General features: G+C 41.4%; 1 long non-coding RNA gene across 3 annotated transcripts in view; it reads left to right on the top strand.

Annotated features, from left to right (window-relative positions):
* The first annotated feature begins 878 nt into the window (after positions 1-878).
* LOC124906307 (uncharacterized) overlaps positions 879-22,958 on the top strand; it is a 97,668-nt gene continuing 75,588 nt past the window's right edge. For all 3 annotated transcript variants that reach the window (XR_007096179.1, XR_007096177.1, XR_007096178.1), the window contains exon 1: positions 879-2,851. This is a non-coding gene — a long non-coding RNA (uncharacterized LOC124906307). The remainder of the gene's footprint in view (positions 2,852-22,958) is intronic.

Genomic DNA, 22,958 nt, shown 5'->3' with positions numbered 1-22,958 from the left:
AATTGATTACTTATTCCTCAGTAACATCCTTTTCTTTCTGATTGAAGTACTCCCTTTAGCATTTCTTGCATAACAGGTCTGGTGTTGATGAAATCTCTCAGCTTTTGTTTGTCTGTCTGTGAGTCTTTATTTCTCCTTCATGTTTGAAGAATATTTTCACTGGATATACTATTCCAGGATAAAGTGGTTTTTGTCCTTCAGCACTTTAAATATGTCATGCCACACTCTTGTGGCCTGTAAGTTTTCCACTGGAAAGTCTGCTGCCAGATGTATTGGAGCTTCATTGCATGTTATTTGTTTCTTTTGCTGCTTTTAGGATCTTTTTTTTTATCCTTGACCTTTGAGAATTTGATTATTAAATGCCTTGAAGTAGTCTTCTTTGGATTAAATCTTGGTGTTTGAGAACCTCCTTGTACTGGGATATTGATGTCTTTCTCTAGGTTTGGGAAGTTCTATGTTTTTATCCCTTTGAATAAACTTTCTACCCCATTTATTTCTCTACCTCTTCTTTAAGGCCAACAACTCTTAGATTTGCTGTTTTGAGGCTACTTTCTGTATCCTGTAGGTATTCTTCATTGTGTTTTATTCTTTAGTCTCTTCTGAAGGTGTATATTCAAATGGCCTGTCTTCAGACTCACCAATTCTTTCTTCTGATTGATTAATTCTGCTATTAAAAGACTCTGATGCATTCTTCAGTATGTCAATTGCATTTTCAACTGTAAGGTTTCTGCTTAATTTTTATAAATTATTTCAATCTCTGTTAAATTTATCTGAAAAAACTCTGAATTCCTTCTCTGTGTTATCTTGAATTTTGCTGAGTTTCCTCAAAACAGCTATTTTGAATTCTCTTTCCGAAAGGTCACATATCTCTGTTTCTCCAGGATTGGTCCTTGGTGCCTTATTTAGTTCATTTGGTGAGGTCATGTTTTCCTGGATGGTGTTGATACTTGCAGATGTTTGTCTGGGTCTGGGCATTGAAGACTTAGGTATTAATTATAGTCTTTTCAGTCTGGGCTTGTTTGTACCCATCCTTCTTATGAAGGCATTCAGGTATTTGAAATGACTTGGATGTTATTATCTAAGCTGTACCTGATTTAGAGGGCACCCCAAGCCCAGTAGCATTGTGATTCTTACAGACTTATAGAGGTACCGCCTTGATGGTCTTGGACAAGATCTGGGAGAATTCTCTGTATTATAAAGCAGAGACTCTTGTACTCTTCCCTTACTTTCTCCCAAACAAATGGAGTCTTTCTCTTTCTCTCTGTTCTGAGCCACCTAAAGTTGGTGGTGGAGTGACAAAATCACCGTTGTGGCTACCACCACTATGACCATACTGGGTCAGACCTGAAGCCAGCACAGCACTGGGTCTCACCCAAAGCCTGCTATAATCACTCCCTGGCCGCTGCCTATGTTCACTCAAGGCCCTGGGGCTCAACAATCAGCAAATGGCAAAGCCAGCCAGGCCTGTGTCTTCTTCTCAGGGTGGTGAGTTCCCCAGGCCCCAGGTGGGTCCAGAGGTGCCATCCAGGAGCCAGGGATTAGAGGTCAAAAACCTTAGATGTCTACCTGCTGTTCTATTGTACTGCAGCTGACCTGGCATTCAAACTACAAGACACAGTCCTTAACACTCTTCCCTCCCGTTTTCAAAGGCAGAGAAGTCTCGCTCTGTGGCCACTGCCACCAAAGGCCCATGGGGAGTTTTGCCAGACTACTGCCAATGTTCCCTCAAGACCCAGTGGCTCTTTAGTCAGCTTGTGGTGAATGCTTCCTGGCCTGGGACTCACCCTTCAGGGTGGTGACCTCCCCTCTGGCCCAGGGCAGGTCCAGAAATGCCATCCAAGAGCCAAGTCCTGGAATGGGGATCCCAAGAGCCTATTTGGTGGTCTACCCGGCTTTGGCTGAGCTGGTACCTAAGGTGTAAGACAAAGTACTCTTTACTTTTCCCTCTGCTTCCTCAAGCAGATGGAGTTTTGCCCTGTAGCCATCAGATGTGGGAATGTTCTGAGTCTCACCTGATGCCAGTAAGTCTCAGAGGCTTACCCAAGGCCCTCAACATAATATGTGGGTAATACTGCTGGTTGTTTAGGACCCAAGGGCTCTTCAGTTAGCAGGTGATGTATGCTGCCAGGTCTGGGTCCTTTCCTTCAAGACAGCAGATTCCCCTCTGGCCTAGGATGTGTCTAGAAATGTCATCTGGGAGCTAGGGCTGGAATGGGGATCTCACGATCTTGACTGGTGCCCTTTCCTGCTGTAGCTGAGCTGGTATTCAAGATGCAAGACAAAGTCCTCCCCACTCTTCCCTCTCCTCTCAAGTGGAAGGAAGAGATCTCTTTTGGAGCCTTGAGCTGTTCAACCTGGGTTTAGGGGAGAGGTGATGCCAGCACTGACTTAGTTGCCCTAGTAGGTGTTTCAGTAGGTCACATACTCCCATAGTCCACTGTCTCTGGGCCCTGCTCAGCAGTAGGACTCTCCTATGAGTTGCAGTCCTTGTGGCTAGACTGCCTTTCTAGTTTATTTAGATCTGAGCACTTTAGCCCATGGTGGTGAGGCTTGTGGGAACTCAAGTTCCAACCACTGGGATCAGCGATACCTCTCTGGCTAGGGCTGTTCTAAATGCTCCCTCTGTGGGTGGATGTTGGCTGAGTTTGGTCCAGTTTTCCTTTCAACTGTAAGAAAGGCAGCACTGAGTTCAATGCCTCATAATCGCTGTGCTCTTCCTTTCCCCAGGATACAGAAATGCTCTCTGCACTGCGCTGCCACTGCTGGGGGATGGAGGGATTTTGTGTCAGCAACTCAAGACTGTTTTTTCTACCCTTCGGTGCCTCTTTCAGTGATATGAAGTTAAAACCAGGTACTTTGAATGCTCACCTGATTTTTGGTTCTTATGAAGATGCTTTTTGGTGTGTAGATAGTTGTTAAATTGGTGTCCCTGTCGGGGGGACGATCATTGAAGCCTTCTATTCTGCCATCTTACTCTGCCTCCTATCCTCATTCTGTTTTATCTATATCATTCTTCTTTTATTCCTTCAATGTGAAATAACCTTTAAATAACCTCTAAACTAGACAAAATTGCATTTCCATGAACAAAAACTACATCTTTATGTCTCATTTATAAACTTCCCTGCCAAAAACACATCCTATCTTGTATATTTTTTCTTTATATCTGTATATTGTTTTCTTTATATCTGTGTATATATATAGTTTTCTTTATATCTAATATTTTAAATTATATATATTAACTATAATTTTAACTACTACTAATGAGTAACCCTCATTTCCAGTGAAAAACCAAGAAAGTTAGAAATTTCCATTGTTGTGTACCAGATGGAGAGCCCAGGACAGAGGACAGAGCTGTGATAACAATGCCTGAAGGATTCAACATTTCCCAACTTGCCCAGGAGACCAAGCTTGGCCAGGAAAGATGGGGCCATAGTGGGCTTAGCTCTGTTCTGTAGCCCAGACATTGGTGACACACATATTTCCCCAGGCCTCACCATGGCCACCTGTCTAGACTCCAGAATCTAAAGGCTCAAAATCAAGGACATAAACTCACAGGAAGTTGCATGCAAGGATTTGGGGGAGCCCAGAAACCAGCCCACATAGCTTTAGCACACTGACAAATAATTACCAAAATGTGGGAGCTAAGCAATTTGAATACATGGAGGTATAGTACAAAAACACATAACAGAGGCTGGGAAGAGTGAATGGTAGGGAGAGGGAAGTGGTAGGGAGAAGGGAATGGTAGGGAGAGGGAAACTGGAGAGGATAGAGAGAAGTGGGCTAAAGGGTACAAACATACAGTAAGATATATTTTATATATATATATAATCTATTCTATAATGTCTGATAGCAGAGTAGGATGACTGTATTAGCAAAAGGGTATCATACTCAGGTGGTGGATACTCTAAATACCCTGACTTGATTGCTAATATATACATATAACAAAATTTCTCATGTACCCCATAAATTTGTACAAATACAAAAAATAAAGTCAAAAAATCACAGAAGCAAAAGTTTTATGACTTTAAAACATGTAGTAGAGACAGTATAAATTGGTTTGACCGGTAGAACCATGCAAAAATGCTTAAAATTCTGAAGACATTTCTATTTTATTATACCAACAATTTAAAAACTAGCTGTATTTATCTAAGATTGCTAGTCATGTGAACTTGAAAATCATTTGGACTTATTTACTGAATTTATGAGGGATCATTTATGTCAATTTTGTACCATGTAGACTATATATAAACACAAAAATGTACAAATGTATACATAAAAATGCAGACAAACACAGATTTTATAGATTTGATTTTCAAATTTTGCCGTGAGACAGGTAAAACTCCCTAGTTTAAAAGTACTGTTGGATTAAACTGTGCCTCTGTAAATGTAACAAGTTAAAATTTATCTATGCCACATGGTTTAAGTCCCTACTAAGTTTAAAGGAAACAGGGTAGCAAATTTACTGTCAAACAAAAGAGAATTTAAGCTTTTTCAAGAAAAAGTTTGGGTGTGCATTACAGACACAGAAGAAGTTTAAAAATAGATATCAAGATAACACAAAATCATAGGAATTCATCACATACTTTATAAGGAGACCAATTTTAGTTAGATTCGTAACTTCCAATTTAGTTTCTGTGTTTTTACTGTACCATGGAGCTCAGGGCAGTGAATAGGGCTTACAAGGCTTTTGTAGTTTTCAGGGCCCAGTACTTTATATGTAGAAAGCAGGCTTAGCTGGAAGGCAGAGCACCTAGATCCCCAGAAACCAAGGATCCCATTTTTACACTGAATCCCAGGTGCCCCAGAGCTGAGGCAAAAGGCCAAGAGGGAAATGTCATGGGGCTAGGCTGTGCAACAATTCTACAGTGGACCTCATTGCAAGGACATTTTCTTTGAGGCTGTTGGGAAACCTAATGCCAATTAGCCCACTCCGTGACCAGCCTATCCCCCATGGGAATTTTATACCTTGATAGCAAGTGTTCCTACAGCCTCCAAGTGTCCAAACTGTGCTTTTCTTATCTAAATACTCAAACAATTAGCCTCACTTCAGTAATAACCATTCACTGAACAACTGTCAGCCACCTCTAAAACTGCAGTGACCTATCAGCCATCCAACACCCAAAGGTTAAGTGTTCTTTCACAGTAAAAAGTAACCCCTGGTATTCCTAAAAGCCAAGGAGATTGGGAAACTCAATGCAAAACGGAGCTGAGCTTTAGACCTGAGAGCAGCCTGCCCAGGACTCTTGGGGTTCCATGAGGAATACAGAAGACCCTAATGATATGGACAGGAGACGAGGAAATACTGGGTAGAAGAGGGCAGTTGCCCTGCAAAGGCCCCATCCTCAAGCCTGGATACCTGCTGCCCTAAATGGGAACAGGCATACCTGTTTTCATGTCCAAAAAGTTGTCTTTTCGCCCACCACACCCCGTATTCTATACTCATATAAACCCCAAACCCCTGAATCCAGCAGGAGATAAGCAGACGAACAGAAGAGCAGAAGAGCGGCAGAGAAGGAGAGAAGAGAAGGAATGTCAGGAGGAGTTCAGCTGGGGATGGTCGGAGAATTGGCTGCTGGATGGCCCAATTCTAGGGGAAGATCACCTTCCCACTCCATACACTTTCCAGTTCCCCATCTATCCTGCTGAGAGCCACCTCCACCACCCAATAAAACCCCAAATTCACCATCCTTCAAGTCCATGTGTGTCCCACTTCTTCTGGGATGCTGGACTCTTGTCGGGATACAGAAAGCTGTCACACTGGCCCTCTGCCGTTGTAAAAAGGCAGAGGGTCCACTGGTTAACAATTAAGCTGTCTGTGGATGGCAAGGCTAAAAGAGTGGACTGTAACACATGCCAACTTGGGATCTGGGAGTCACAGACTCCCACTCCTGGACGCTGCTGTGAGGCTGAAGCCCAGTGCTCCAGCTTCTGCACCTGTCCATCTACATGCTCCCCATCCCATAAGGGGTTTGAGCAGCAGCAGCAACCGAATAGACAAGCCACACCCCTGTCACATGTCCTGCGAGGGGGTCAGGGAACTCTCTCATTTCACTAACAAAGGGGTATGTGCTGCTTCTTTCTGTGTTCTTCAAGCAGTCTCAGGGCCACCAGAAGTCCCCTCTAGATCTCTTCATGTGGTATTGAATGTCACAAAAAAGGAAGGAGTAGAAGTAAATGGGAAAGCAAGTCTTAGAGCAACCATTTGGAAAGATTTTAAACCTTCCAAAAACCAATTAAGTTTTACATTTTTTTTTCTCAGCAAAAATTATACCAACAAGAAAGAAAGTGAACAAAGGGATGGAACATATAACTTTTTTACAACAGATTTCATTCAACGGAAAAACTTCTAGGGAGAAACAAGATCCAAAAGAAAAAAAGCAGATGGACCATTAAATATATATATATAGCCTGAATATCAGCTTTTTATTAAGCTGACTTTTGCCTACAGAGCTCTTAAAAAATCTTTTCAAATCTCTTACTATCAGATTTTTAAACCAAAGGTATTTTCCAAGTGACTCAGAGCCAAAACCAATAAGCCTTTTATGACTTAACCAAAGACTCATGAGGCATCTTCTAAGAGGCACAAAGCAGTCCTTGCAACCTTCTCAAAACCACCCCAAAGAAAGGTCAAAGAAAGGAAAGTGTTAGTAGCTACAAGTAGGGTACAATCTGCATTTCTGTCCAGCAATATTCTCTAGCATGTCAGCTTCTCAGCTGACCATCAGCATACACATTGTACATACAATTGTATACCCCATAGATGGAGGATTAAAAGAGACAAAATATCAATAAGACAGGCCAGAAGTTGTCCATGGAAGGGAAAAGGATCTGGGAAGCCAGGGTGGGCGGATCACGAGGTCTGGAGATCGAGCCCAGCCTGACCAACATGATGAAACCCTGTCTCTACTAAAAATACAAAAATTAGCCAGGTGTGATGGCACGCGCCTGTAATCCCAGGTATTCAGGAGGCTGAGGCAGGAGAATCACTTGAACCCAGGAGGCAGAGGTTGCAGTGAGGCAAGATCACGCCATTGTAATCCATACTCAGAGTGACAGAGTGAGATTCCATCTCAAATAAATAAATAAATAAATAAATAAATAAATAAATGGAATCCCCTTAAAGTCAAGAATCACACACATATTACACCAATTTTTATTTATTTACTTTTAGAAACAGGGTCTTTCTCTATTGCCCAGGTTGAGTGCAGTGGCACAATCATAGCTCACTGTATCCTTGAACTCCTGGGCTCAGGGGATCCTCCTGCCTCAGCCTTCTGAGTAGCTGTAGGACTACAGGTGCAAGCCACCATGCCTGTTTGTTTCGTGTTTTGTGTGTGTGTTTTTTTTTTTTTTTGAGGGGAGGTCTTGCTATGTTCTGCCCAGTCTGGTCTTGAACTCCTCAAGCAATCTTCCCCTCTTGGCCTCACAAGGGGCAGGTATTACAGGTGTGAGCCACTGTGCCTGGCCCAAATAAATTTCCTAATAAATGTTTCTCTCTCTCTTTTTTTCCTCCTGAGTTGAAGGACTTACATCACCAAGACACTGGTTCCCTGATGGGAATCAGACCTAGGCTGAAGTGGTGGAAGTGTAGAATCTTAACTAATAGACTACTAGGTGGAGTGCCCTTCTTTGCAAATCTTACAGGGGATCCAAAGCAGGCAGTTTGAATATAGAAAAGATTTTGAGTTTAAATCTGATTTCTGCTTTCCTTTTTTTTTTTTTTAACTCTTGCCAAGGGAGTTTCTAAGGCTATATTCCTTTTGTATATTTTCATAGGTACTGATAAGATAGCTGTTTAAGATGAAAGTTTTAAAAAATGTTTATTTTAAGTATAGCCAATTTATTTATTCCATAAGTGAACTAGTTTGGATACGTTTTTTTCCTGTTAATCCAGCTTGGAAAGGGAACAAGACAGATTCTTACTTCCCTCATTTGACCTGAGTGCCATAGGCAGAGATCTGATAAAAGTGACTCGGGAAAAAATTTCTTACCTTTCTTTGCTGGCTTTGATCAGTTGCTCCAAAATCTCATCCATAGGCTCCAGAACAGAGTGATTTGTTATCCTGCTGACAACACCAAGACTGCAGGGAAGTTGAAAAATTTCCCATGAAATTTTACTAATTTGAGTCTATAAAACAAACTGATAATGGACAGATTAACAGGGGAAAAAGGACATACAAATTTATTAATGTGCATATCAGATGGAAGTTATACAAAGTGTGAGAAACTCAAAGAAATGGCCAGATGGTTGGTGCTTTTATACTATCTCGAGAATATGGAAAGAATAGGGGCTTGAAGCTCGTCAGGACAGGTTATGGTGGCATGAGAGATTACGGGAAGGAGAGAAGAGGCAAGGCGTGCTGCAAAGGTGGTCTTGTTGTGCAGATGATCTCACAGGTAGCAGCCTTCAGGAAGAAGAGATGGGAGCCTGTGGTAGATGTTTCTATAAAACCTTTAAAGGTATCTGGCTCTCAGTTAATTTTTCCCAGATCTGGGCAATGGGGGCTTCAGAAAAAGCCTGTTTCAATCTATTGTTTACTTCACTTTATTTCTTCTACAGATGCAGATCTCTTCCACAAAAGACAGCTTTGCAGGCTGATTCTTGTGTTTGCAGGCCCTCTGAATAGTCATCTCAAAATATGTCAAATAAGTATACTTTGATGTGAAATATTCTTGATTTTCTTTAAAAGTATTATTGAGGATAAGAAATCAACATACATATATCACTACTGAGCTCCCCAGCACTATCAAATCTGAAGATTCTGCCATATTTTATTCTACATTTACCATATTCTATTTTTAAAATAAACAAAACATTACAGATTTAGCTGAGGCCCATTTTACACCCCTCTCCAATATCAATCTCCTGTCTACCTTCCCAGATAAGCCCACAATCTTGAGTTTGCTGTTTATTATTTCCATGTATATTGTTATATTGAAATGGGAGAGTTCCCTGGGCCCCCTCACAGGATGTGCAGCAGAAGCATGGCTCTCTGTTCTGCCACCATGAGCTCAAACCACTTATGGGAGGGGAAGCATACAGATGGTAGGCACAGGAACTGGGGTGAGTCCTTTTGGGCTCCAACCCCACGGCAGCATCTAGGGGTGGGTGTCTGTGACTCCCAAAGCCCAAGTGGGCATGTGTTACAGTGTGCCCTTTTAGCCTTGCTGTCTGTAGATGGCTTAAGTGTTAACCAGCTCAGAGGACCCTCTGCCTTTTTGCAAAGGCAGAGGGCCAATGTGACAGCTTTCCGTATTCTGAGCATCCTGGAAGAATCGGATCACACACGGACTTGAAGAGTGAATGTAGGGGTTTTATTGAGTGGTGGAGGTGGCTCTCAGTGGGATGGATGGGGAGCTGGAAGGGGGATGAAGTGGGAGGATGATTTTCCCCTGGAGGTTGGCCATCCAGTGGCTGATCCCCTCTCTGATTATCCCCAGTCAAACTCCTGTTGGTGTTCAAATGGTCCTTCTCTTCTCTCCTTCTCTGTCATGCTGTTCTGCTGTTTGTCTGCTCGTCTGTTGATCTCCTTCTGGAGCCTTGGGTTCAGGGTTTATATGGGTACAGGATAGGGGTCATGGGAGGCCAAAAGGCAACTTTTTGGGTGTGAAAACAGGAATGCCTGTTCCCATTTAGGGCCATGGGTATCCAGGCTTGAAGATGGGGTCTTTGCCAGGGAACTGCTATCTTCTCCCTGGTATTTCCTGTCTCCTGCTTATATCAGTATTAATACCATAGGTATCTATAAACAATACACAGTATTGTTGCTTATGCTTTCAAAATTAATATAAATGAGATCTCCATACTCAACATTGTGAGAAGAACAAAGATCACCTGGTGGCCCTGAAGCAGATCAGCCAGAGGCAAAACTCCTGATCTCAGGAATTCAGAAGTAATTAGACTTCCCTATTATCTAGAGCAAGCATCTGGTTCCAGGTTTCTTTTCCAAAAATTTATAAGTAACTAGAATTTCTGTACATCTCCAGAATGCATGCATAAAGAAACTCATTGAGCAATGCTTGCTGACAGTAAGGCACCAAAATGCCCAAAATTGTAATCATTTGTCATGAGCTACCTGGGTAATATGATCCGAATTACCCTTAGTCTCCTGCTTTAAGGCCCATAAATCCTACTAAGGAAAAATCCACGGTGGTGCGCTCAGTCCTCTCTCATTGAGGTGCCCAGCTGTGCTCTTCTGCAGTGTACTTTCTATGTAATAAAACTTTCCTTTTCAAACCTATACTGTTATTGGTAAATTCTTCTTACCAACCCACAAGTCAACCACTTTCTGTTCCTGGGGCTCTGACACCTTGCTCAGCACATTGTTTATGAGATTTATGTATGATGATACAGGAAGCTGTAATTTATTTAAAATGCTATATAGAGTTTCATTGTCTGAATATGCCACAATTCATCCTCTGTCCATTGACATTTAGGTGGTTTTCAATATTTTCTTATTGCAAACCACACTGCAATGAATGTTTTGATACATAATCTCCATAGACATTTGCATGAGAGTAAGTCTTTGTTACATCACCTTGGAGCTTGTTAGAAATGCAGCATCCTAGGACCCACTCAAGACCTTACAGAAATAGAACTTATATTTATTCAAGATCCCCAGGTGAACCATAGGCTTATTAAAGTTTGAGCAGTTGTTCTCAAATTTAGTAGTAAATTGGAATTACCTGAAAAGTTCAAAACCAAAATAAGACAAAACAACTTGTGCCAGGGAATACCTTCAGAGATTCTGACTTAATTACTCTAGGATGTGCCTGGGTCTCCAGGGATTATTTATTTATTTATTATCATTATTTTTTATTTTTTTATTTTTTGAGACGGAGTCTCACTCTGTCACCCAGGCTGGAGTGCAGTGGCGTGATCTTGGCTCACTGCAACCTCTGCCTCCCAGGTTCAAGTGATTCTCCTGCCCCAGCCTCCCGAGTATCTGGGACTACAGGTGCCTGACACCATGCCCGGCTAATTTTTTGTATTTTTAGTAGAGACAGGGTTTCACCATGTTAGCAGGCTGGTCTCGATCTCCTGACTTCGTGATCCACCCGCCTTAGCCTCCCAAAGTGCTGGGATTACAGGCGTGAGCCACCGTGCCTGGCCTCTAGGGATTTTTAAAAGCTCTTTAGATGATTCTAATATGTAGCCATAAGCACTGGACTGAAATTACTATGGCTGCAGTGTGTGTGGTGCATGGTTTTTATTGGGATGCCTCTCTAAAAAGAACAGTTTTACCCATAAGGGGCTAGAGCAGGTAGGTAGGTGGAACTTCCAGTAACTTATCAAAGCGCTTTGTCCTATTTTAAGTATAATTAGTTCTTAGCTGAACAAACACTAGCAAGCCCCTAGCTATATATCAGGTGATCTAATAAGCACTTTACTAACATTATCTAACTTAATTTTTGTGGGAAAATTTCCTTTCCACTTAAGAAGACATTGAGATTTTCAATGAAATGGTGCAGTTTATCAGAAAGTCAGAAGAATATATTAGTCATAAGAAATAATAAGACACTGAAGGAAGGTAAGATTCCTTTGCTTGATGTTGAGTGAGAATATGCAGCAGTCTGCTTTCAGCATCCAGTCTGGACCCCGCCATAGGAAAAGCTGCCACCCACTCACCTGGATATGGCACAGACTCTCAGTACACAAAGGAAGAGAACTCAGGATTGTGTTGATTCAGTGGTTGGAGCTTTTCTGCCCAACACTACAACGTCATTGTGATCAACACTGGGAAAATTCCTGATCTTTCAGTGGAGTCTCTGAGCAATTATTAATCTCTCCAGTCATTCTACATCTTTGCACAGAAATTGTAGAACAGAGCAGTTAAATCACAACTGGATTTCAAACATCAAAATGGAAACTTCAAAACTGAAAGTTCGTTTTTTTCATTACTTAAATTCATATCTAATCACATAAGTAAACATACATACATCTTCACCATCAAATAAACACTTTTGAAAGGGAAAAGTCTCTTTTAACTCCCTATTTCCCTAATCCTGCTTTCCCCTTCCCAGAGGTAAATACCATTATTGATATAATGTGTATCCTTTCAAATCTTTTTCTATGTATTTCTACATATATAGTTTTTTTTGTTGTTGTTGAATAATTTTAAACCCTATGCTTTTAATATCAATTATAGTGCTTCTTATGTAACTGTATTTTCTCACCTCTCTCCCAGATTTGCTAAACTCTTCCATTTGTTATCCTAGCTATGAATTTATTCACTCAGGATACAGCTTAAAAATACACTGCAGAGGATTGAAACAAATTACCAAAGTTGAAGAGTTCACTGCTGTATCAGAATTATATTTTTAAAAGGCAAGCAGTAACATCTATGTATCTCCTGTTTTCGATGGATAACATTGTAAGGACGAGGCCTTTCCTGGGGGTGAGGAATGTGCCTTATTTTTGCACTTGGATTCCTTTTCTTCTAGAGCTAGTGGCTTCTTTAGTCAGTAGCCTGAGGGATTTTCATTTGCTGAGTGAGATGCTGTTCCTTCTCCCTTTCCTTCCTCTACCAGTGCAGGAAGACTGATGAATTTGGTTCAGTAGGAATTCTCTCAGAAAGCTGGGAGGACAGCATCCAGCCACTGGGTTCAAGCTATTAGGAAGAGCTGCAGGAAATATCCATTCTGTTTGGCAGATGGACACTCTCAGACTGACTGTTGTCTAATGCCATTGTACATTTCTTCAATATGCCCTCCTACCAAGTCTTTCTTAGTGGACCATGGAAAGAGAATGAGAGCTTAATGTTTGTTTGCATATGGTCATCATTTTATCACTTGGTAATTGAGGAGGAAAACAGGAAATTCGTCTTTGGGCTCAAGGACTTTGCAAAGTCACTACCAGTTAGGAAAACTCTGGCTATGCTGGATTTGAAGAGAGATTTGTCTGCTACCTCATAACTGTCCTACTGCATGTGATTGCCACCTTTGGATTTCATGGACCGATGGGCTAAAGAGTAAAAGCAAAGCATTTGAAGGTGGACAAACTTGAAAAGGGGGAGTACTTCCAAGTAAAATCCAGTCATGACATTGTTTTGCTTAAAAACTTCTATTGGTTTCTCATTGCCTAAACTTTAAATTCTATTGGCAGAGGTCACAAACCAGCAGCCTAGGTCTCAATTTGGCTGGCAGATATGTTTTGCCTAGCCCTACAGTTGTTTTAAAAAAATTAGAATTTATCACCAAGAGATTAAGGTCAAGGGATTTAATAAATAAATTTGGATTTCTGGTCGTGTTGGCCAACATTCTGTATAGGTCAGGTGAAATAAGTTGTGGCTACACTCTTCGGAAGGGGCATGAGCTCTCTTCCGCTTTGCAACAGTCCTTCCCGTATTGGACTCCCCTAGGGCTACTTTCTTAATTGAGCTGCTGTTTCACTTTGTAAATATTGCTTTTTCCCCTAGAGCTTCCTCTGCTACTTCAGGGTGGGTTGCACGTAGGAATTCACCAGCCTTTCCGATGAACATGCAAACTGAGAAGTGTGAGAAATTAATACCCTATGGGCTAACCCCTGGGTAATAAGGATGAAGAGTCAGTTGATAACAGCTGATAAATACTCCCCACTCTTATGTCTCAGATGGATGTTTCCAAGGAATATCCTACATAGCTTCTCAGAGTACCCCTTGGAATAGAGCTTCAGTTTTCCACAGCAGTAACCTGATCCACATTCACCCTTGGACTGGCTTTCTCCTCTTCTCCTTTTTGCTCTTTTCAGTCCCTCACTCGAATTTCTTGGGAACACTTCCTAAAATAAACTGCCTGCAGTTAAGCCCCTGTTGAAGCCTTTGCTTTTAGGTGGGAACCCATCCCTTCCCTGTTTTCTTAACCAGCTTACTTGACTCAGTCAGTTTACCTTCATGACCCTATAGGCATTTGAGGTTGTGACCTGCCTTAGAGACTCACATTTAGGAACTAGTCCCAGGTCTTCTATGCAACTATTACCCTGAGCAACTCCTCAAATATTCCATGCAATATCAAAGCTATTTGCTAGTGCTGTTTCTCTTGCCTGAAATCCCATCCCCTCAACTACCCACTGATTCCAGGCTACCTCTTTTTCTATCAAGCAAAATCCTATTCAGTCTTCAAGGCTGGTTTTATGGCAGGCCAGGTCTCCCTAAAGGTTGCATAGGCAGGCCTCCATAACAACTGTTTCAGTACTGACCGAGTGGTTAAGTTAAATATTAAAAGCTGAAAGAGGCAGTGCCCTATACAAAGGCTGGAATGTAACAAAAGCCCACCAAGAGTTTTGCCTAGGCTTTTCCTGGGCCTTGAAGCCTGACAAGATAACAAATGAGTTCTTAACAGGACCCATTTAGAATTAAATAAGTTTTACTGGGGATCTGAAAAAACTCCCCGGGGATCTGAAGAAACTCCCCAGGCCTCCACAAACAAGTTTATTGGGGTCTGAAGGAACTTCCAAACCTCCATGATTTAGCAGGATACAAGATAAGGGTAATACCCCAGCACCTGGACCCACTTAGATTAAGTAAATTTACTGATGCTCCAGAGGAAGGTGTTCAGGACTCAGACCTTAATTATAGATTTTAAAAAGTTAATTACTTATGTCTTTAGATGAATGCACACTTACAAGTAGACATATAGCTTAGAAGGCATATAAGCTCTGGAAAACTTTGTAAGTTTGTTGGTCAGGTGATATTTTCCAGGCCTTCTCCCTGTACCCAGTTTCCGAAATAAACTCCCTCCTTTGCCAGTTCATCTGCATCTCATTATTGGGCCATGAGAAAAAGCAGCCTGACCCTCAGTTTGGTCTGGGAATAGTTTTAGTTGACCTTCCTCTGTAAGCCCTTCCCTAATTCTTCCACACCTGCACACCTTGAAAGGTAAAGAGAGGGAACTAGAAGAGAGTGAGAGATTGCAGTTAGAGGAAAAGACACTGATAGAGCCAGCACTTGTTGGAGATGATGGTAATGGCATCAGGGGTGCAAGTGTAGGAGCTTACCTACAGAAAAGAATTCTTCATTTTCTGAGATTAGAATAATGATATCAAACACTGACCTATACCTATTATGTGCCAGGCATTATTCTGGGTGCTTTCAAAATATTTAGTAAATGTTAACCTTTCTTTCTCACAAGGACCCTGTGAGGTTTGTATTATTATCATTACCCTAATTTCACATATTAGAAAAGTGAGGTACAGAGAGGTCGAGTAATTTGCCCAAGATCACACAACTGGTAGGTAGTCAGGTAGATGGGTGGTCTCGTTCGGAGTCTATGCTTCTTATCACTATGACTTGCCAGTTCTTTATTATTATTATTATTATACTTTAAGTTCTGGGATACATGTGCAGAATGTGCAGGTTTGTTAAGGGAAGCTAAGTAGAAAATACATAAATAGGGAAAATAAAGCTGAGATGGTTTCTGTCTGTTGGTCTAAATTTTCTTAATGAAGCAGGAGACAAAGCCAGCCAATATGATTACAGGAAGCAGTGACCCAAATTAAATTTGCCTAGGGAGTGAGAATATGAAGTAGGAAGGGTAAATTGGTCTTGGTCTTGTTTTTCCAAACCTTTTCGATATGGTTTGGCTCTGTGTCCCTACCCAAATCTCATCTTGAGCTACAATACCCATGTGTCGAGGGAGGGACCTGGTGGGAGGCGATTGGATCATGGGGTGGTTTCCCCCATGCTATTCTTGTGATAGCAAGTGAGTTCTCATGAGATCTGATGGTTTTATAAGTGGAAGTTTCCCCTGCTTTCTCTCTCTTTTCTGCTGCCTTGTAAAGAAGGTACTTGCTTCTCCTTCACCTTCTGCCATGACTGTAAGTTTTCTGAGGCCTCTCCAGCCATGCAGAACTGTAAGTCAATTAAACCTCTTTTCTTTATAAATTACTCAATCTCATGCAGTTCTTTATAGCAGTGTGAGAACAGACTAATGCTGTACATTGGTACCAGGAGTTTGGGCACTACTATAAAGATACTTAAAAATATGGGAGTGACTTTGGAACTGGGTAACAGACAGAGGTTGGAATGGTTTGGAGGACTCAGAAGAAGACAGGGAGATGTGGGGAAAGTTTGGAACTTTCCTAAAGCAAAAGCCTTTAGCAAAGAGAATGGCGTCATTTTGCCCCTGCCCTAGAGATCTGTGGAACTTTGAACTTGAGAGAGATGATTTAGGGTATCTGGCAGAAGAAATTTCTAAGCAGCAAGGCATTCAAGAGATGATAGAGTGTAAAAGCTTGGAAAATTTGCATCCTGACCATGGTAGAAAAGAAAAACCATTTTCTGGGGAGGAATTCAAGCTGGCTGCAGAAGTTTGCATAAGTAATGAGGAACTAAGTGTTAATTGCCAAGACAATGGGGAAATGTCTCCAGGGCATTTCAGAGATCTTTGTGGCAGCCCCTCCTGCTACAGGCCTGGAGGCCTAGGAGGGAAAAATGGTTTTGTAGGCGAGGCCCAGGTCTTGCTGCTCTGCGCAGCCTTGGGACTTAGTGTCCTGTGTCCCAGCTGCTCCAGCTCCAGCTGTGGCTAAAAAGGACCAAGGTATAGCTCTGGCCATTGGTTCAGAGAGTGCGAACCCCAAGCCTTGGTGGCTTCCACATGGTATTGGGCCTGTGGGTGCACAGAAGTCAAAAATGGAGGTTTGAAAACCTCTGCCTAGATTTCAGATGATGCATGGAAATGCCTGGATGTCCAGGCAAAAGTCTGCTGCAGCAGAGCCCTCATTGAGAATGTCTGCTAGGGCAGTGCAGAAGGGAAACGTGGGGTTGGAGCCCCCACACAGACTCCTCACTGGGGCATTGCCTACTGGAGCTATGAGAGGACAGCCATCATCCTCCAGACCCCAGAATAATAGATCCACTGACAGCTTGCATCATGTGCCCAGAAAAGACACAGGCATTCAATGCCAGTCCATGAGAGCAGCTGCAGGGGCTGAACCCTGGGAAGCCACAGGGGTGGAGCTTCCCAAGGCCTTGGGAGCCCACCCTTTGCATCAGCCTGCCATGGATATGAGACATGGAGTCAAATAATATTATTTTGGAGCTTTAAGACTGAATGACTGCCCTGCTGGATTTTGGACTTTCATGGGGTTGTAGCCTCTTTGTTTTGGCCAATTTCTACCATTTGGAATGGGAACATTTATCCAATGCCTGTACCCCCATTTTGCCTTGGAAATAACTAACTTGCTTTTGATTTTACAGGCTGCCAGGTAAAAGAGACTTGCCTTGTCTCAGATGAGACTTTGGACTTGGACTTTTGGGTTAATGCTGGAATGAGTTCAGACTTTGGGGGACTGTTGAAAAGGCATAATTGTGTTTTAAAATGTGAGGACATGAGGTTTGGGAGGGGTCAGGGGTGGAATTATATGGTTTGGCTCTGTGTTCTCACCCAAATCTCATCTCAAACTGTAATCCCCATGTGTCAAGGGAGGGACCTGGTGGGAGGTGATTGGATAATGGAGGCGGTTTCCCCCATGTTGTTCTCGTGATAGTGAGTGAGTTTTCATGAGGTTTGATGGTTTTATAAGTGGTGATTTCCCCTGCTCTCTCTGTCTTTCCTGCTGCCTTGTGAAGAAGGTACTTGCTTCTCCTTTGTCTTCCACCATGATTGTAAGTTTCCTGAGGTCTCCGCAGCCATGTAGAACTGTTAATCAATTAAATCTCCTTTCTTTATAAATTATCCAGTTCCAGGCAGTTCTTTATAGCAGTGTGAGAATAGACTAATACACTACTACAGTATCAGTAATGCTATGTCTGCCTCTTTATGTTTTATCAAGTACTTGGCAATCCAACTTCTACTTTTTCCAAATTGCATCATTTCTCCTCTATTGGTTCTCCACACCGCACTTCCAGAAACCACAGTACCTGAGCATCTTACATGTTTTGGAAATGACAGGTGTGGGAATGAACCTCAAACTGTCCAGAAGTCTCACTCTGGGAAAGCATGCTTCTGGAAAAAGGACCTTTGCTTCTCCCAGCATTGCTGTGAAACCCTAGGAAGGGTTTGGGGTGCCTTGTAGTCAGGCACAACCTGAGTGGTTTCCAGAACAAATAGGCATTAGATCTTCATGAGAATGGAAAAAAAATGACTCATATGTAGGAAATTCTCATCCCCAGGAAGGTGGTTTGTGGGGGTTAAGTCAGGATGGTAGGGAAAATTATAAGCCACAAACCTTGGAAGGCCTGAAGGCTTTTGCAAAAGTCTCGGGATAAGGTTATGGCTGAAGGCAACCTAATCCTTACCTTGAGTAAATAGCTTAAAGTAGGTACAAAGGAAGGTAGAGTAGTTTACCTAAATAGCTTGTTTATTCATGTGGTCCTAAGACTAACCTTTGATCTACTGTGGGTGCTTAATTGCTTTCTACTCAAGAGGTCCACAGTGTCAATTACCCTCTATTGGTGTTTACTCACGACCTTTGTCAATTAATCTCTACTGAATAAATGCAAGTCTTGCTGACTGATCAAGGCTGTGGCTGTGACTAAGTGGCCCAGATGCTCAGCTGAACTGGCAAAGCAGAATATCCGTGTATCAGTGTGCTTTATTCACCTGTCGTTAGGTCAGGGTCTGCAGGACAGACCCCCACAGTGGTTTATTCACAGTAGTGCATTTCCCTGTGGAATATATGGGTATCTAGGAAGTTTTGTTTCTATTTGTGTTATTGCCTGTGAATGAGTTCCAAAAATGCCACATCAAAATATGCTGCTTTGGTGTGCTCATTACTTTAAACTGAGAGCACTTGGGGAATAGCAAATGCAGGGGGGAGCTTTCTCTGAACTTCCCTTAAGTGTCTAAAGATGAATTCTCAAAGAGCAACTCAATTGTCATGAATTACTTCTCTGGGAATCTTGTCAACCAGGGAGGATTAACTCAGATCACAGAAGGAGACGCAATGCACAGACAGACTTTGCCAGAGTGTCACCTGTTCTTCTGAGGGCTACTCATGTTACAGCCCAACAGGTTCTTTTTGCCCAGTGCACAGATAAAGCCAATGCACTGAGACAGCAGTGCTGCAACAGAGAAAGAGTTTAATTATCTCAAGGCAGTTGAGCAGAAGGATGGAAAATATTTTTCAAATCTTCCTCCCCAAGAGCTCAAAGCCTAGGGTTTTTAAGGATAATCTAATGGGCAGGGGACTAGGGAATGGGTGCTCCTGATTGGTTGTGGGTAAAGTCATAGAAATGTTGGAATTATGTTTGCATGCTGAGTTGCTTTCTGTGTGGAGTTCACAGAATCAGTTGAGTCACAGGTCCAGGTGGCATTAATCAGTTTGCCAGAATGTAAAATTGTAAAAAAAATCTCAAAGACCTATCTTAGGTTTTACAATAGTGATGTTATCTATAGGAGAGACTTGGGAAGTTACAAGTCTTGTGATCCCTGGCTGCATAACTGGTGAGCAGTAAGCAAGCTAGGAAGCAGTGGCTGGTTATCACTTAACTATGCGTAGGTCTTAGCAGAGTTCAGGCTTTTTTCATAATTCTAACCTTTTACACAGACAGTTTCAGTCCCAAACCAGGAGGAGTGTAGTTTCAGGAAGGGACAGTTATTTTTGTTTTAAAGTTAAACTATAAACTAAATCCTTACCGTAGTTAGCTTGGCCTATGCCCAAGAATAAGCAAAGATAGCTTGTGAAGTTAGAAGCAAGGTGGAGTCAGCTTTGTCAGATGTCTCTCACTGTCATAACTTTTGCAAGGGCGGTTTTACTCAGAGACACCTTTTATTACCTGAGAGACTTTTTGTCTGCATAACAAGACAACCTTTATTCACCATACAATTCCTCTCATCGTCATCACATAATTTGTGTCACCACCACCTCAGAAGCCCCAAGTGCCTATTCTTTTCTTTATTTCAGGCACCATGTAAGCTTTCTTGGAGTCTCATATTTTGTGGAATTCCCATGCATGTGTATGTAATACATTTTTTCTCATATTAATCTGCCTCACATTAATTTAATTTGTAACCCAGCCAAAGAACCTAGAAGGGTAGACAGAAGTCATTTTTGTCTCCCCTACACCTGCTTTGTGTAACCATCTTTGAAATTTTTATATTCTCTACCGTTGAAGAAACTTTATATCATTGATGTCTGTGGAAATCTTTTTATCATCTTGTCAACCTAAAAAAAGACACTAGAGAAAATTATCTCTAAATATGTTGGCTTTACTCTGGCATAGAAATGAGGATTATACTTTGGAATGTGTGAAATGGCAAGTCACTAGTGCATTCAGTGAGGGAAGGATAAAGGGAGCTTTTATTTGCAGAAAAGTAGATTTACATAAGCTGCTTAGAAACTGAGTTCATTTGATCTAGAGGTTCAAAGTTAGAGCTGCTGTCAGTTCATTTATGGAGATGCCATTACTAGGCAAATGCTCTTCCAAGAACGTCTTTTATGAATTATTGAAGTTCTAAAGAATATCTAGTGATAAACTGTACCAAAAGAAAAGAGGCATGAATGACATGAAACGTTTTTAGAAAGTCTTTGGGAACAGTTCTTATCTTAGACATGTAAGCATGAGCCTCCCTTCTTGGCCTTCCTGGTCCTGTTTTGTCTGGATCTGACAAAAGTAATTTAATCCTGATATCTTCAGCTTTTATAATCTCATAACCATCCCACCATGGCAGACTCACAACAGACTTACCTCAACAGAGGCAAGAATCCAGATCTGTGGAGGGATGGAAGTATGGTGTGTCTAATTCAAGGATGTAATATGCAAACTTATTATATTTAAAAACTTTAATCAGGAAACAAAATTGAAGTAAACAAACAGACAAACAAGCTAAAAGTGTGTATGCATCTGTGTGTGAGTAATGGAAAAGAAAATGTTGGATTCTGTCTGGTCCTGGGCTTTTTTGTTTGGTAGGCTATTAATTACTAACTCAATTTCAGAACCTGTTATTGGTCTATTCAGAGATTTGACTTCATCCTGGTTTAGTCTTTGGAGGGTGTATGTGTCCAGGAATTTATCCATTTCTTCTAGATTTTTGGATTCACAGCCGAATTCTACCAGAGGTACAAAGAGGAGCTGATATCATTCCTTCTGAAACTATTCTAAACAATAGAAAAAGAGGGACTCCTCCCTAACTCGTTTTATGAGGCCAGGATCATCCTGAACCCAAAACCTGGCAGAAACACATCAACAACAAAAAAAGAAAATTTCAGGCCAATATTCCTGATGAACGTTGATGCAAAAATCCTCAATAAAATACTGGCAAACTGAATCCAGCAGCACATCAAAAAGCTTAACCACCATGATCAAGTCGGCTTCATCCCTGGGATGCAAGGCTGGTTCAACATACACAAATCCATAAACGTAATCCATCACATAAACAGAACCAATGACAAAAACCACATGCTTATCTCAGTAGATGCATTCAACACCCCTTCATGCTAAAAACTCCCCATAAACTAGTATTGAGGGAACATATCTCAAAATAATAAGAGCTATTTATGGCAAACCCATAGCAAATATCCTACTGAATGGGCAAAAACTGGAAGCATTCTCTTTGAAAACCAGCACAAGACAAGGATGCCCTCTCTCACCACTCCTATTCAACATAGTATTGGAAGTTCTGGCCAGGGCAATCAGTCAAGAGAAAGAAATAAAGTGCATTCAAATAGGAAGAGAGGAAGTCAATTATCTCTGTTTGCAGATGACATGATTGTATATTTAGAAAACCCCATCATCTCCTTAAGCTGATAAGCAACTTCAGCAAAGTCTCAGCATACAAAATCAATGTGCAAAAATCACAAGCATTACTATACACCAATAACAGACAAACAGAGAGCCAAATCATGAGTGAACTCCCATTCACAATTGCTATAAAGACAATAAAATACCTAGGAACACAACTTACAAGGGATGTGAAGGACCTCTTCAAGGAGAACTATAAACCAATGCTCAAGAAAATAAGAGAGGCCACAAACAAATGCAAAAACATTCCATCCTCATGGATATGAAGAATCAATATCATGAAAATGGCCATACTGCCCAAAGTAATTTATAGATTCAATGCTATCCCCATCAAGCTACCATTGACTTTCTTCACAGAATTAGAGAAAACTACTTTAAACTTCATATGGAACCAAAAAAGAGCCCATATAGCCAAGACAATCCTAAGCAAACAGAACAAAGCTGGAGGCATCACACTACCTGACTTCAAACTATACTACAAGGCTACAGTAACAAAAACAGCATGGTACTGGTACCAAAACAGATATATAGACCAATGGAACAGAACGGAGGGCTGAGAAATAACGCCACACATCTACAACCATCTGATCTTTGACAAACCTGACAAAAACAAGAAATGGGGAAAGGATTCCCTATTTAATAAGTGGTGTTGGGAAAACTGGCTAGCCATATGCAGAAAACTGAAACTGGACCCCTTCCTTACACCTTATATAAAAATTAACTCAAGATGGATTAAAGACTTAAACATAAGACCTAAAACCATTAAAGCCCTAGAAGAAAACCTAGGCAATACCATTCAGGACATAGGCATGGGCAAGGACTTCATGACTAAAACACCAAAAGCAATGGCAACAAAAGCCAAAATAGACAAATGGGATCTGATTAAACTAAAGAGCTTCTGCACAGAAAAAGAAACTATCATCAGCATGAACAGATAACCTACAGAATGGGAGAAAATTTTTGCAATCTATCCATCTGACAAAGGGCTAATATCCAGAATCTACAAAGAACTCAAACAAATTTACAAGAAACAAACAGTCCCATCAAAAAGTGGGTGAAAGATATGAACAGACACTTCTCAAAAGAAGACATTTTTGCAGCCAACAAACATATGAAAAAAAGCTCATCATCACTGGTAATCAGAGAAATGCAAATCAAAACCACAATGAGATAGCATCTCAGGCCAGTTAGAATGGTGATCATTAAAAAGTCAGGAAACAACAGATGCTGGAGAGGATGTGGAGAAATGGAAATGCTTTTACACTGTTGGAGTGTCAATTAGTTCAACCATAGTGGAAG

This window comes from Homo sapiens, chromosome 3, assembly GCF_000001405.40.
Source record: "Homo sapiens chromosome 3, GRCh38.p14 Primary Assembly".
NCBI lineage: Eukaryota > Metazoa > Chordata > Mammalia > Primates > Hominidae > Homo > Homo sapiens.
This window is presented reverse-complemented; position numbering and strand designations above follow the sequence as displayed.